The sequence below is a fragment of the Homo sapiens genome, chromosome 3 (genome assembly GCF_000001405.40).
Source record: "Homo sapiens chromosome 3, GRCh38.p14 Primary Assembly".
NCBI lineage: Eukaryota > Metazoa > Chordata > Mammalia > Primates > Hominidae > Homo > Homo sapiens.
The window spans coordinates 184,888,964-184,906,070 of NC_000003.12; the positions used below are offsets into that span (position 1 = coordinate 184,888,964).

The following is a 17,107-nucleotide window of genomic DNA, read 5'->3' on the forward strand; positions in this document are numbered from 1 at the left end:
AACAGTTGTAAGATGAAAGATTATATAGGGAAAAAAATTGATTATGTTTTTCCAGAATATTTTGTTATTCCCTAAAATATTCTGGAGATAAGCTTTTCTTTTTTATATGATTTGGAAAGGAAATATTCTCTAACATTTATTTCACCTATTGACTGTCTGAGAATGCAATAATTTCTGTATTGAACCACAGCATATAACATAGAAGATAAAATCTGGTCTAGATTTTCACCAAATTAGGATCCATTTATTATTTCTTTATTTTTGTCAACTTCTTTCCTATAATTTTTCCTGATTCCTTAGCATGCTTTCTCTGTATTGTGTCAGAAACAAATACAATATTTGTTGTTGGAGATCTCAGAAATAACAGGAACAGCAGTCATAGTATATACTCCTCACCTCCAAGAGGAAGAGAATCCTTCCTCAGTTCAGCTCTTCCTGGTGCTTTTCATACCTCTTTTCTTTCTTCCTCCTCCTGCTCTTACATACACACTCTTAGGTCAAGGCCATGGACATTTTCCCTGGACCATAGTACAAAGAGCGTATGGATGGCTTCCCTTTCTCTCAATTCTGTTTTCTAACACCGAAGACTAGATTGTACTAGATCCTGCCTCTGCTTGGGAGAAGTTCCAGCATGTGTGTTCTTATTGTCTTTCTTTCCCTCCTTGTCTCTTTCCCTAATTCTACTCTTTGGGTTCTATTCTAATAGGAGAAAAAGCGGGAGGGCAGCATTCCTAGAGATGTAAGAAAGGTCGGGGCTGTGAAACTAGGCATTGGGTCAAACGCTCCCTCTTTTGTTCTAGGTCTGTGTTGTGCTTGTTTGCTTCTCACCATACTGGCTTTTCTTTTTCATCAGAATGTTAAGATTCTTCTATATATGGGCCTGAACTTAGAAGGAAAGATTGAATAAGCCGTTTGATCAACTTTAATTGTTTGCATCTAGGCCATCTTTCACTTCCCTTCTATTTCAAACATGCAATGACTAAAGATTTATTAGATACAAGAATTCTATGTTTAATTAAATAGTTCAGTCTAACCACTTAAATGGTAGAGTTTTAAAAATTTTTTTCTTAGAGTTGCCATAGATAATAAGGTTAAAAATGGTCAGTTCCCTATGCTAAATTGTAGCGGAGGATTGTCAGATGTAAGTAGCTTCATCCCAGCATAGTATTTTTTCTCCTTAAACTGGATCCTCTCTTTATACTATCCTTTTTGACATTTGGTCCTATTTATGTCTAAGGTCTTCTCTTCTGCATTTCCAAATTAGCAAAATATCTGTGACATTAACATTGCTTTAAGGAATGCTCAGATTTTGCATAATACAAACACAGTCTTACAAAATGTCATCTAGTACTCAGCTAGCCAATTTCAGGTAACTTCTTCCACTTCTAGATTCATTACTCACTCAATCCTGTTCCCCAGATTCCTTTTATATTAATGTCTTCTGATTGAGTATGTTGTTTTTATAGGCAGTCCTTTTATTTTCACATATTATATTGTTTCTTAGGTGGGTGAAATTATAAACATAATACATGCTCTGAAATTAATTTTAACTTAGTGGCACAACCATTATTACACTATAATCACTGTTACCTCATAGTTTCATAACTCAGATAATTCAGTACCCATCAGTAATATTAATTAAGCTAGTGGATATATGTATTCCTATTTATATTTAATAACACTTTTATAATGTAAAATCATTTTTACTATGTCACAGTAATCACATTTGTTTTTCTCTGTAGGGCATACTACTCAGTGTATTATGGACATCTTTCTTGGTTAAAATTTGGCATTAGAGTCTTTTGTAAATTACTTAATATCAGAAATGACAGGAATTCTGTTTTTGAAGACTTATACTTTATTTTCATAATTTGGTCTCTGTTCCACAATTTCATTTCAATTTGGTTTTGTGTATTTTTTTTTCAGTATTAGACAAAAGACACAATGTCTTAAGGCTTTTTGTGAATACTTCTGATTTGTCATTTTACCTATGCAAAATATAGGCTATATGTTAGCATATATATGGGTAGCCCTAATGTCAGTTTTACTTTGAAAATAGATCCAGAGTTTATGTAAACCATAATTATAATTTTGAACGTTGTTTAAAAATAGGGTTATGTGATTATATGTGAATTATATAGCAATAAAGCAGTTATTTTAAAAAAAAGCAAAATGGGTGCTCTATATGGATGATACCGACGACTTTGAGTTTATATCACTGTAAGGAATATCCACAGTTGTTAAGAAGCCATCGTTCCAATGGCTTGTGTTATGTATGCATCTGAACCAAAAATGTTTCTGTTAAATCCAAAGTGAACTTGAAGTAGTCTTTTAATTTGTTCACTCATGTTGTTCAACATCAGGACTATTGTTTGAGAAACAAAAAGATCTTAATTATCAAGACTTGTTGAGGAACTGGATGTTTAAAATTTTATTAGGGTGGTGCAAAAGTAATTGCAAATTTCATCATTAAAAGTAATGGCAAAAACTGCAATTACTTTTGTACCAACCTAATATCAAAGCTGGGGGAAAAAAGGCGTTTTTAATTTTATAATAGCTATATTGAGATATAATTCACATACCATAAAATTCACCCTTTTAAAGTATACAATTCAGTAGTTTTTAGTGTATTCACAGCTGTGTAAGTATCACCACATGCCTTTTTAAAGGAAATCTTTACGAACTGTGGTACTTGTATCAAAAAATAGAGCATTTTGAACATAATTTGTTAAAATTCATTTGAATTTTGCTTTTGCTTTTATAAATAAGGAAACCAGCCCACATCAACTTTGGATATATTAAATACCACTTGTATTTGGTGGGAATTTACTTGTTTGGTTCTGGTTATATATTTAGTATGGATTGGCAAGGGTTAGGATTGATGCCCTTGTTCCCCTTCACATACTTCTAAATTTGTAATTTCTTATAACCAAAGCAGCTCTTCACATTTAAAAAATTATGAAATCGATAATGTACAAAGTAAATTTAACAGTTGTCCTCTTTTTGAAGTTATAAATGATAAACTTCAAAAATACCTTTAATGTGAGTACTGTTATAAAGTGAAGTTTGTAGAAATATCTCTTTGGTCCTCTATTATTCATGATCGATTTTCTGTTACACTGGCCATAGGGAGGCTAAGCTTGAAATGGTAAACATCAATTTTGAAGTCAGCCCTTCTAGGAAACAAAGATAGCACCCTGGAGAATAGTGCCTAAATATAGAAAAAAATATGAGAGCTACAAATTTTTGTATGTACTTGTCTTTTTTTTAATTTTATTTTGAGATAGAGTTTCGCTCAGTTGCCCAGGCTGGAGTCGATCTCGGCTCACTGCAACCTCTGTCTCCTGGGTTCAAGCAATTCTCCTGCCTCAGCCTCCTGAGTAGCCAGGATTACAGGCGCGTGCCACCATACGCAGCTAATTTTTGTATTTTTAGTAGAGACGGGGTTTCCCCAGGTTGGCCAGGCTGGTGTCAAACTCCTGACCTCAAGTGATCTGCCTGCCTTGGCCTCCCGAAGAGCTGGGATTACAGGCATGAGCCACTGCACCCGGCCTAGCCTGTATGTACTTTTCTATCTCCCCTCTTTCCTGATGCACTAATAAGTATTCTCCCAGAATGATGAGAATTTGTCGTTGAATATAAAAAAAATTTTATTTTAAGGTAGAGATGCAAATAGGAGTTGCTGAGCCTTATTTTTCTTGCTTCTTTATATTATAGCTTCTGATTGGTTAAGAAAGAAACGTGTGGTTTTGCATTTATCTTAGCAGCATCACATGCTGTTTGTAAACAGGAGTGCCTTCTTAGTTAACTTTTGTAGCCTTTACTGAATTTTTAGCTCTCTTTAATTCTCTCCCCAAGGCTTTTTGTACTAAACTAAAATATATAATTATCTTTTTTAGCATGTTCCTTTTAACAACACATTACAGAGTACAAGGGCTTCCAAATCTGACATTTTCTTTGAATCATTGGTTATCTTGTTACTTTTTCTTTCTTACAGTAAAACTCCATTAATCTCTGTTTGTTTTGCTTGGCTAGTAATCGGTCATCACAAAAATATGATGAATTATTGATTCAAATGAAACTGACATGAAAATATTTTGATAAATATGAAATGGAGGGGAAAAATGATGTAAAATTACATTTGTGCATTTGAGAAAAAAATAAATGGCTGTGGATTTTCCCTAGAATGTTGCAAATGCTGTTAATTGCAGGGTGGTGTGGAGTTCTGGTGCAGTTGTAGCCAGTCTGTTTTCCATCTGTCCCCTTCCAGGACTTCAGATGAGTCAAAACCCCATCCTAGTCCTTTCAGGAGCTTCCTTGATGTTTTTGTGGAACTTGTCATGAAAGACCATACCTGTGAATAAATAAACCATTTACCACTTTCTACAATTGACATGATATACATATAAAGAAATTACACATTTAGGAAAAAGTAAATAATCTCAACAGGTAAATAAAATTCACACAGTTTTTGTATTTTTTAAAAAACAGAATGAACAAAGAAGTGAATGATACAAGGCAATACAATTTATAAATGAAAACATGGAAAATATTCAATTTTGCTGGTCATAAAAGAATTATTAAATTGTCAGGGGAGAAAAACCAAGTTTGCAATTGTCTGGTGAAACTGGTAGGATTATACATTGTGGGTGGCAGTGTCAATTGATGCTGTGATGCTTTTTGAAGATAATTTCATAGCACATTTCAAGTGCCACAGATTTTTTCATATCTTTTCACTTAAGATAAATTTCTAAAAGTTGACTGATTTAGGAATTAAGCCCTTCAAATGGGAAAGGCTTTATATGTAGATGTTCATTGTAGTATCACTTGAAATACTGGAAATAAGTAATATATCCAACAGTACAGGAATACTTAAGTATATTCTGATTTTTCAGCATATTGAAGTATTGTGTTAGACAAAATGGTAATTTTGAAGAATAAATAGCAACTTAGAATAATGCTTATCATATAATGTATGAAAACAGAATTCCGAATTCTGTCTGTGGTCAATATAACTCAAATTATTTATGGGTTGTTTCCAGAAATATGAAATAAACATTGTCGAGGTTGTTGACATTTAAAGTAATTTAAAACAATTTTTGTTTCTGCAATAAAATTGTTTCTAGGTTTATATTTTAAGGATTAAACATTTTTTTTCTTCTTCTTCCATGAATAATCACTAGCCAAACATTTTGGGATGCAAAGGGTTATAGCTAGACAAAGAAGCATATTGACTGCAGGTCAGCTAGGAATATTTAAATACCAAGAAGGAGGGAAGGATAAATCATGAGTAGTCCTTTTGTTTTTTTCCTACTTCATGATGTCCACCCAATTATCTGTTCCCATGTCAGTGTTGTCTTTAAGAAGCAATATGCCACAATAGACTGAGCACAGGATTTAGGCCGGAAGGCTGGGTTCAAAATCTGACTCTTTTGTTTGTTAGATATGTCACTATTAGCAAACAATTTATCTTACCTTTTCTGATTTGTTAAAGAAGTGTTGGGAGGATTAATTGAGATTTTATATATATGTATATATACACACGTATATATATATATATATATATATACACACACACACAAAGTTTTTGCAGTATAAAACTCTGTGAATATTATTGCCATTTTAAATAAACTCATGAGTAAGTTGAAGTAGGGAAAAGATGAGATATATTTGGGAGACTAAATTTAATGGATATTTGGCATGTTCCTAAAAGTTTTTCTCCCCCCCTTTCTGTTACAGGGATCTTTTATTTAGTCAGATGTATGATAAATTAAGTGAGAATTCAGTGGCCAAAGGAGTATTTTTGGAGTGCCTTGAGCCATATATTTTAAGTGATAAATTGGTGGGAATCACACCCCAAGTAATGAAAGACTTGATTGTTCATTTCCAAGATAAAAAATTAATGGAAAATGTGGAAGCGCTCATTGTACATATGGATATCACCAGCCTAGATATTCAGCAGGTGAGTTTATAGACAGTCTACTAACTTATGAAATAAACTTCATTCCTTTATTGATAACACTTACTTCACTGATCAGGCCTGACCCTGCCTTCTAAGAACCGTAATTATTTATTGAGCACTTTTTGTAAGATGTATTATAAACTTGTATTTGTCAATATATTTCCTAGGACTGTATTTAAGTGAAAGCTAGAATATAATTGCCTTGCAAGTCAGGGATTATGTTGTCTTCTGTTTCTTTCACATCCCCAGTAGCACTTGGTATAGAGTTTACATTTAGAAGTTGCTCTATAAATGCTTGTTAACTGATCCCTCTTTATCAGCTTGTTCGTTCACTAATATAATTTTCATCGAGCAAGTGACTTTCAACTATGGCTGCTTTCTCATGAATTGTAGAATATTTTTACCTTGAAAAATATGATGCCATTTTAAAAAAGAGCTGGTATGTATGTCCAGAGTTTTGAAATACAGAGCATGGTATATAACAGGCAAGTTATAGAACTTTTTAGCATGAATAGCCAGCCATTGTTTGATAAATACTTCCGCTGTATCTGAGGTTCTCACAATAAGTTATCTTAATTGAGTTTCTTGAAATAAGTTTCTTAATTGAGGTGCAGTATTTATTCTGGCCTAAGACATTTCACAATTTATTTTTTCCTCCTCCTGCTCCTCCTCCTCCCCCCCTCCTCCTCCCCCCCTCCTCCTCCCCCCCCCCCCACTCTCTTTTTTTTTTTAAAGACAGAGTTTCGCTCTGTCCCCCAGGCTGGAGTACAGTGGCGTGATCTTGGTTCACTGCAACCTCCTGGGTTGAAGCGATTCTTGTGCCTCAGCCTTCAGAGTAGCTGGGATTAAAGGCATACGCTACTGTGCCCAGCTAATTTTTGTATTTTTAGTAGAGACGGGGCTTCACCATGTTGGGCAGGCTGGTCTCGAACTTTTGACTTCAAGTGATTCGCCTGCCGTGGCCTTCCAAAGTGCTGAGATTATAGGTGTGAGCCACTGAGCCTGGCCCACAATTTGATTTTTTAATTCCACATTAGTCCTAATAATGAGCATGTTACTCCTGCAAAGGTGCCAAGCCCTCTTGAGCTTGAATATGGAAGACTAACAAAAGTCTTAGACCAAAAGTTTTTTGAAAGTGTGCAAAATCACATAGAAATTAAGGGTTTGGAAAAATGATTATTTTATTTCTGGAAGCTCTTTATGAATGGCTGTGAGTTTGCAAAGTAAAGCCAGATCCTGTTTTATACCTGCCTTTGTATTATATGGCTAATTTGGCATAGTCTTCATAGTCTTACAATAGGTCTGATGACTTGAGAGCATGTTGTCCATCTAGTTTTGCCTACCTATCACATACAGGAAAAAAATTTAATTTCTTCTATTTATAATACTTTATAACATTTTCAGTCTTTCCCCACTACCATGTAAATATACTCTAGTCTTTTTAATGTTAAACAACAATTTCAAAATGCTCCCCTCAGTTTCTTATGTCTCCATATCAAGACTTCTCCCCTTTTTCCTCCTAGGTTACTGCCCTATCTCACTCCTCCCAGTCACAGCTAGATTTCTTGAAAGCGTTGTCTAGGTTGCTATTTTCATTTTTTTCCCCCACTTCCTAACTCTTCAATCTTACTTTTACTAGAGTCAACAATGGCCTCTTTGTCCACTACACCAAATGGTATTTTTCAATCCTTATTTTATTTACTCTTTTAACAGCATTTGTTCGTTAATTCAAGAAGTGTTTACTGAATGTCAGGCTCTGAGGATGCTTCAGTATCCCTAGTGAACAAGGCTTGTCCTCTCATAAAGCCTAAATTTTAGCAGAAAAGTTTGACAATGAACAGATTAATGTACAAAAATCCAGAAAGTATTTCAATACAAGTATTATGTTAAAAATCAAACTGGGAAATATAGTAAAGAGATAATGTGAGGCTACCTTAGATTGGCTAATTATAGATAGTCTTTTTGAGGAGGCAGCATTGAGTCTTGGGAGCTGAATGACAAGAAGGAATCAGTAATGCAAAGATCTTGGAAGAGAAGATTGTTATAGGTAAAAGCAACAGCTAGCATTTAAAAAAAAAGGATTTTTGTCTCGGGTGTTCAAAAGGAAGCGGATCTGGAGCTTGGTACAGAGGTAGATCTTGCAGGGCAAGGTATAGATCTTTCCATTTTATTCTAAATGCTATGAAAAATCATTAGAAAGTTTTAAGCAAGAGCACCCTGTGCTTTAGGGGTAACAGAATCAGGGATGAGGGCCAAGTGCAGAGGAAGCAAAGAGGCTAGTTAGGAAGCTGGCCCAGGAGGTGATTCTGGCCAGAGATGGTAACAGTGAGATGAAGAGAGATGGCCTGATTTTGGATGTTTTAGAGATAGAATTGATTTGCTGGTGAATTGGGATATGAGGGTGTGAGAGTGTGGGAATGAGAGAATTTAAGGATGATGACTAGTTTTTGGTTTGAGAAACAGGGTGAATAGTGAGTGATTCCTTTGAGAAGATTGCAAGACTAAGGCAGGTCTAAGTTTGAGAGACAAATCAGGAGTTCTGGTTGGCCATTTTATTTTGAGATCACTACTGGACATTCAGGCGAAGATGTCGAATTAAGTAGTTGGATATATGTATGGGTTAGAGGGGAGGTTAGGGCTGAAGCTGTAAATGTGTTAGTCATCAGTGAAGAGATGCATGATCATGGTACTGGCTGAGAGGGGTAGAGAGGGAGTCGTAGGAGTCCCAGAACAGGCTTTTTCTAGAAAGACTCTCCCAGCACATCTCACTTCCATTTTCCCTCTTACCTCTCACTCCCTCTTGTCATTCTCCTTTGCCGACTTCTGCCCTTCTCCTCTTGCCACTGTTTATAGTATTATATAGCTGTCATAGGGACAGAATATAGAGTACTGTATACTCAAACTCATATCTAGTCCTCTTCCTAAATATTTTCTCTGATTTCTCTCTGTCCTTAAGCACTTCAAGCTCACTTCCACATTAGGTCCTTCATCCTCACTCTTGCTTCTTCCTACAGAATTCCTAGCTGGCACTTCTGCTTGTGGCTCACATATATCCATTCTTTAGGTCCCACCTTAAATGTTGTTCCTTTAGGGGTGACTTTTTGAATACTCCAGACCAGTTAGGTTAATAGCACTTACCACATTTGTAAATAATGAATTATTTGTGTAATTGAGTATCTTCCCCAAGTCTTAACTCACACGCCATTTTGTACCCCTACGTCCTTTTGCTGGGTGTCCAAGATCAATGTAAGTTCTATAAGGGTAGGGACAAAGTCTGGATTTATCTTATCTAACACTTTATTCCCAGTGCCTATGAGAGGGTCTGAATATGTGTTCAATAAATATTTGTAGAACTATTGATCAAAGGTAAAATGAATATAGAAAGGGGAAGGATAGAGAAGAAACAAAATTAGACACTGTGAATGTCTTAAAGTAAGCGTTGTACTATTAAAAGTAGTAATTTCACCTACAGCAGCTCTTACCCTTGCATTGTGTTTGAGTACTTGAATTTCAGTTTTTATCAGAGAAGAAACAAGAAAAATTAGGGAAGAGCATTCAAGACCTTTCCCATTCTTAAAGCATTAAGGAAAATAATTGGTGACTGAATTGTATGGACCAAGTGGCTTTTCCTTTTCACAGGTAGTTCTCATGTGTTGGGAAAATCGTTTATATGATGCTATGATCTATGTCTACAACAGAGGCATGAATGAATTTATTAGTCCAATGGAGGTAAGATACTTCCTAACTTGGATACGTAATTAATTTTGTCTACTAACTTTTTTCTCCTATTCTCCATTTGCTTTTAATAGTTTCTAGTTTTATCCAATTATTTAAAAATTCTTATATATTTATTGACCTTGAACCCATTTTAGCTTGGGGCTTTTAGATAGTCTTCAATTTTATACCTTCTGCCATTGCTTGCTTTCTTATCTAAATAAGTAGGTATTTAAATACCAGGGAACAATAGATAAAATTTAAATTAATGCTTGCTTGTTAGGCTTTACATGTTTTTCTCCTAAGAATTTTTGATACTGCAGTAACTTTTTCTAAAGATACGAAAAATTTATTTTGTATAATTATTTTATATAATCAATGTACTATTGAGTAATGCTATTTGTAGATATATTCTGCTGGGGAAGGCTCCTGAAAATGGTAGGAGGCCATTATTTGTTAATTGATCATTTTTCACTTTTACTGACTCAGAATTTTATAGCATTCATTCTAATTTTTTATTCTGCTTACCAAGAGAATCTAAAAAACATTTGGACTTACTTTTAGAAGAACCAAACCCCATATCTGTTTTCTTATTTGTTTTCAGTTTGATGGCAGAATAGTGGAGAATGAGTTGTAGACACATGTAGTGCCCTCCTAGCCCAATGCTTTATTATAGTGTCCCTCAAAAAAAGCAGGCCTCTGCCAAAGGCATCCAGTCAACCATTTAGCTAATTTATTGCTATCCAAAACTATCTTCAGTATTAAGAAGTCAGCATTCTATGATAGGTAGGCTTCTTTAAGCACATTCAGTTTGGTAGGGCGAGTACCCCTCTAATTCATAACCCTTCAGTTTTGGTTGCACCTCTCTTCTTTCGGTTAGTTTCTAAAGTTAGTCCCCCACCCTTCTACCTCTGGTTTTGGGGGTTTGGCCCTGATTGTCTGTTATCTCAAGGATTTTTTTTTGTCTTGAACACCTCTCGGCTGCTCCTTCATTAAGGTTCAGTAGTTCCCTGAAAAAGACTCATCAGCTGCCTTCTCAGTGAGGTCCAGTGCCTCCCTGCATGCCACAACTAAGCCACAATTCAGAAGAATTAATACAGTTTCTAGTTTTGCTCAAAATAATCCCTCAAAACAGATTCTATTTTGATGCATTCTGCATTGACAAGATGATTACTGTATTTCTGTTAACGTTGCTTTTGAAATGTTTGTTTTGCATGGGTTTTGTATTCCTCATATTAATAAAATCTGGTTTGCATTTATACTGATACATCTCAAATGGAACACTGAGCTATTGAGGTTACCTTGTTTTGTGTTCGAAGTGTTTAAAGTTTAGCTATTTTAGTACTTAAAGAGGTCTGAATTAAGAGAAGGTGTCCTGTCTCTTGAAATTGTCTAGATTTTTTAGAATGAAAGCGTGTCATCACATTTGAGATGACTACTATAGTCTCTGAAATCTTTCCTTTTTTCTAGTTTTGACTAAGGTAAGAATAGTGCCTTGAGTTGGGAGGAAAAACTTTTTCTTTACCAATTTAGGTCCCAATGGTGGGAGGTACAGGGAAAGGATTGAAGGCTTTGAATTCACTGACAATATACAGATTAACAGGAGAAAAGATAAGGATTATTCACATACGTGCAGGAACACTCAGTAATAAGCATCTCTGCTGAGTAGCCAGAGGTAGACGTTTATATACCAGCTTCACAAAAATGGGGGTAGCACGTAGTTAGGTCTTCAGTGGGAAAGCATGGAAAGTTCTTTTGGGCTTTTTGATGCTAATGGCAGCTGAATTTGCATTTCCTGGTGCTAAGGATCAGTTTTTTCCCAAATAGGAATCTCCCTCTGAAGGGGGAGCTAAATATTTGGGAGACTCTGCTTAAGTTTAGATGATATTTCTTTCTGTGGCTGCTGATTGGATGTTTTCAGTTTAAAATCATCTCTATTACCACTTTAGTGGGAAATCCTTTCACTTGCTTACTAGTTTTTAAAAGAATAAAGCGTTTAAGAACCAAAGGATACTTTATATCAAAATTATAATCTCAGATAAGCCCTTTATATAACTGGTATTTATTAAATGATTTTTTTCGGTGAGGAATATGACAACAGTGATTGTTTCTCAGTGAGCCTTCTAAACATTTCATGTACAGATTAAAGGTTTTCATATTTAATCTTAATGGTAAATGACTAATTCCATTAGCGAATGGTGATGAATAGCATAAGATTCTTATTTTTTAAATAATATCATTTGAGATGATGATGATTGTTTTCCTATTAATTTTAATGCAGAAACTTTTCAGAGTCATTGCTCCTCCTCTGAATGCAGGAAAAACACTAACAGGTATTTATTTTCTAAGCCTTAATTTTTTGCTTTCCTGTATTTAAGGTATTATTTAAATGTTACAAAATTGGCCAATTATATGTGTGCAGTGTGAATGTTGGTAATCATGTACAGTCATGTAACACCACCATAATCAAGCTGCAGAAGGAGCCATAGCTTCTCACACTAAAAAGTTTCCTCCTTCCCCTTTGTACTTGATCCTTTCCCCACAGCCCTGCTCTGGGCAGTCACTGATCTACTTTCTGTCACTATACTTCATGTAAATGGAATTATGTGCTATGTAACCTTTGGTGTTTTATTTCTTTCACTTTACGTGGATGAAGCATAATATTTTTGAGAGTCATCCATGTTGTTTTATGTATATTAATATTTTGTTCCCTTTTACCACTGAATGATAGTCCATGGATTGAATATACCATAAGCTGTTTAATCATTCACCACTTCATGGATATTTGAGTTGCTTTCAGTTTGGGACTACTATGAATAATATAATGCTGCTACAACATTTGTGGACAAGTTTTTTAAGGTTTTTTTGGGTTTTTTTTGTTTTTTTTTTTAGTTAAACTTTCTGAGATAATTGCATGCAGTTGTAAGAAATGGGACATAGAGATCCTATATAGTCTTTACATAGTTTCCCCAATGATAACATCTTGCAAAAATAAAGTACAATATCACTACTGGATATTCATATTGAATTCATATTGATAAAGTCAAGATATAGAAAACTTTCATTACCTCAAGTATCTCACCTTGTTCTCTTACCCTCCATTCCTGACCCCTAGCTGTAAGTTTCTTTGTGGACAAATGTGTTCATTTTCTTGGCCAAATACCTAAGGTTGGAATGGCTGGATTGTATGGTAAATATATATTTTACTTTCTAAGCTACTGCTATATGGTTTTTCCTAATGCTGTACCATTTCTCATCAACAATACTTGAGAGTTCCCGCTCCACATCCTTGCAAGCACTTGATACTGTCAGTGTTTTAAAATCTTCTTAAAACTTTGGCCATTCTAATGAGTAATGGTATTTCATTGTGATTTTAATTTTTATTCTGTGATCATTAGTGATGTTAATCATTTTTTCATGTGCTTGTTTAGCCATTCACATATCTTCTTTTGTGAATTGTTTAAATATTTAGCCCCCCCCCCCTTTTTTTTTTTTAATTGGTGGAGATGACCTGGGGTTGTCTTCATATTATTGAATTGTTAAAAGTTCCCAAGCTGGCCAGGCATGGTGGCTCATGCCTGTAATCCCAGCACTTTGGGAGGCCCAGGCAGGCGGATCATGAGGTCAGGAGTTCAAGACCAGCCTGGCCAATATGGTGAAACCCCGTCTCTACCAAAAATATAAAAATTAGCCGGGTGTGGTGGTGGGTGCCTGTAGTCCCAGCTACTCAGGAGGCTGAGGCAGAAGAATTGCTTGAACCCAGGAGGCAGAGGTTGCAGTGAGCCAAGATCGTGCCACTTGCCACTGCTCTCCAGCTTGGGCGACAGAGCAAGACTCCGTCTCATGAAGTTCATCTTATTAATTTTTTTTTGTCATTTAGGCTTTTGCTATTCTGTTTAAGAAATCTTGGAGCCGGGTGCTGTGGCTCACACCTGTAATCCCAGCACTTTGGGAGGCTGAGGTGGGCGGATCACGAGGTCAGGAGTTCGAGACCAGCCTGGCCAACATGGTGAAACCCTATCTCTACTATAAATACAAAAATTAGCCGGGCGTGGTGGCGCGTGCCTGTAGTCCCAGCTACTCAGGAGGCTGAGGCAGGAGAATCGCTTGAACCCGGGAGGCGGAGGTTGCAGTGAGCCGAGATCGCGCCACTGTACTCTAGCTGGGGCAACAGAGTGAGATGCTGTCTCAAAAAAAAAAAAAAAAGAAATCTTGGTTCAATTCAGTGTCATAAATATTTTCTCCTACATTTTCTTATAGAAATTTAATAGCTTTAACTCTTGCATTTAGGTCTATAATTCGTTTCGAGTTAATTTTTATAAATGATGTAAGGTAAAGTTCAAGGATTTTTTTCCATACAGCTATCAGTTATTCCCATAAGTCTTACCATTTATTGGTAAGATTATCTTATTTTCATTGAATTACCTTGACACCTTTATGAAAAGTCAAGTGACCATATAACTGTGGATGTGTTTCTGTGCTCTCTATTCTGTCCTATTGAGCTGTATGTCTATCCTTGTCCAGTAATGCACTGTCTTGCTTATTGTAACTTCATAGTAAGTCTCAAAATCACATATTTTAAGTCCTACAATATTGTTTTTCTTTTTCAAAATTGGTTTATCTAGTACAGATTCTTTGCCTTTCTATATAAACGTTAAAATCAGCTCATCAGTTTTTTTTAAAAAAGCTCATTTGATTTTCTTTGAGATTGCATTGATGCTGTAGATTAATTGGGAGAGAGAATTGCCATCTTAAAACTGTAGAATTTTCTAATGTATGAATGTGGTATGTTTTTCTATTTTTATCTTTTTAAAAATTAATTTTATTTTAGAGACGGAGTCTCACTCTGTCAGTCAGGCTGGAGTACAGTGGTGTGATCACAGTTCATTGCAGCCTCAAACTTATGGGATCAAGTGATCCTCCTTCCTCAGCCTCCCAAGTAGCTGGGACTACAGGCCACCATGCCCTGCTGAATTAAAAAAAAAAATTCTCAAGACAGGGTCTTGCTATGTTTCCCAGGCTGGTCTTAAACTCCTGGCCTCAAGCAATCCTCCCACCTCAGCCTCCCAAGTAGCTGAGATTACAGGTGTGAGCCACTGTACCCAGCTTATTTTGGTCTTAAAGTCACTTTGCTTTCCCCTTTTCTGCAGAAAAGGCAGCTGAGATTTTGATAAGGATTGCTTTGAATCTGTACATCAATTTTATTACTGTCTTAATATTACCAAATCTTTCAGTTCATGAACACAGCACATCTTTTCATTTTATTTAGGTCTTCATTAATTTTTTTCAATGATGTTTTGCAGTTTTTAATGTATAGGTCATATACTCCTTTTCCTCCTCCTAAGTATTTTATTCACCTTGATGCTGTTATAAATGAAATTGTTTCCTTAATTTTATTTTCAGGATTTGCTGGTGTGAAATAGATTGACTTTTGTATATTGATCTTGTATCCTACGTCCTTGCTGTATTCATTTATTAGTGCTAATTTTTAACTTCTTAGAACTTTTTAAGGAAAATATAGATGTCTTCTGCAAATAAAAATAATTATAATTTTTTCTTTCTAATATAGATGCCTTTCTTTTTATTCCCTAATTGGGCTGACTACACCCACTAATACAGTGTTGAACAGAAGTGGCAAGAATGGACGTCTTTTTGTTTTCCTGATATTAGGGGGAAAGCACTCAATATTTCATCATTAAATTTGATGTAGATGGTCTTAGCCATTTGATGAAGTTTTCTTTACCCAGTTTGAGTGTTTCTAACATGAAAGACTGTTGAATTTTATCAGATGCTTTTTCTGCAGCTATTAAGATTATCTTGTGGGTTTTGTCCTTTATTTTATTGATATGATCTGTTTAATTGATCCTGTATGTTAAGCCAACCTTGCATTCTTGGGATAAATCTCACTTGGTATATAATCTTTTAAATATGTTGCTGGATTCAGTTTGCTAGTATTTCTCAAGGATTTGTGTGTGTATGTTCATAAGAGATATTGTTCTACAGTTTTGTTTTCTTTTGATATCTTGTTATCAAAAGAATACCAGTCTTGTTATGAGTGTATCTTGGTATGTTTGCCTCATAGAATGAGTTGGGAAGTATTCTCTCTTTTATTTTTTGGAAGAGTTTGTGTAGGATTAGTGTTAACTTTTTTAATGTTTGACAGAATTCACTATGAAGCCATATGGGCCTGGGCTTTTCTTTATTGGAAGTTTTAAAATTATTAGTTGTTTTGCTCTGTTTTGTGCTGCTGTAACAGAATACCTAAGACTGGGTAATTTATAAAAAACACAAACTTACGTCTTACAATTCTGGTGCCTGAGAAGTCCAAAATCAAGGTGCTGGCACCTAGTGTCTCATGAAGGCCTTCTTGCTGTGTCCTCACATGGCGGAAGTTGGAAGGGCAAGTGGGAACAAACATTGTGTCCTCACTTGGCAGAAGAGTGGAAAAAGAGTGAACCCAGTCCATCAAGCCCTTTTTTACTACAGCATTAATCCATTCATGAGGGTAGAACCCTCATGACTTAAACACCTCCCCAAAGGCCCCCACCTCCCAACATTGTTGCATTGGGGATTAAGTTTTCAACACATGAGTTTTGGGTGCCACATTCAGACCATAGCACTAGTTTAGTTTCTTTGTTTGTTGGAGTTTACTCAGATTATCTGTGTCTTTTTGAGTGTTTCAGTAGTTTTTAAATTTCTAGACATTTGACCATTTAATCTGCATTATCTAATATGTAGGCATATAGTTGTTGATAGTATTCCTTTGTAATTCCTTTTATTTCTGTAAGGTCAGTAGTGATGTCTCTTTCATTACTAATTTTTGTAATTTGACTCTTCTCTCTTTTTTTAGTCTGTCTAAAGGTTTGTCAGTTTTGTTGATCTTTTCATAGAATCAATTTTGATTTCATGCATTCAACTTTAGTCTATTTGCTTTCTTCAGTTCTTTGGGTTAGAAGCTCTTTAGGTAGAAGCTCAGCTCTTTTTTTTTTTTTTTTTTGACAGAACAGGAAAATATTTTTAATTCTTTGGTTCAGGGCTCAATATCAATATATAAAAAGTAATAAAATCTGTGAGAAAGACTAACACCTTAATAGAAGAATAGACAACACTAAGGCAATTCACAAAAGAAACTTAGCCTGTAAACATTGAGAAAGTGTTCAACTTCATTAGTAATGTAAGAAATGCAAATTAAAATGAAGAGGTTTTTTTTTAACCAAACAAATTAATAAATATTTTTAAAAATCATACTTATTTCTTAGGGAATTGAACACTATCATAAACTGCTAGTGGGAGTAAAATTGGTTCAATCTTTCTATAGAGCAGTTTAGCACAATATATGTATCAGAAGCCTTAGAATTTTTCACACCCTTTGGAAGCTCAGCTTTTCAGGTAGAAGCTCATATTGTTGATTTGAGGTCTTTGTTTTTGTGT

At 35.2% G+C, this 17,107-nt stretch overlaps 1 protein-coding gene across 25 annotated transcripts in view; it reads left to right on the forward strand.

Moving 5' to 3' along the window:
- VPS8 (VPS8 subunit of CORVET complex) overlaps window positions 1-17,107 on the forward strand; it is a 240,449-nt gene that overhangs the window by 76,798 nt on the left and 146,544 nt on the right. For 23 of the 25 annotated variants that reach the window (XM_047447824.1, XM_024453426.2, XM_047447823.1 and 20 more), the window contains 3 exons: window positions 5,740-5,962; window positions 9,602-9,691; window positions 11,958-12,009. In XM_047447824.1, the coding sequence (XP_047303780.1) occupies window positions 5,740-5,962; window positions 9,602-9,691; window positions 11,958-12,009 (365 nt within the window). Of the gene's footprint in view, window positions 1-4,270; window positions 4,450-5,739; window positions 5,963-9,601; window positions 9,692-11,957; window positions 12,010-17,107 lie in introns of all 25 variants that reach the window. The other 2 variants (NR_146113.2, NM_001349298.2) reach the window with 1 other exon arrangement.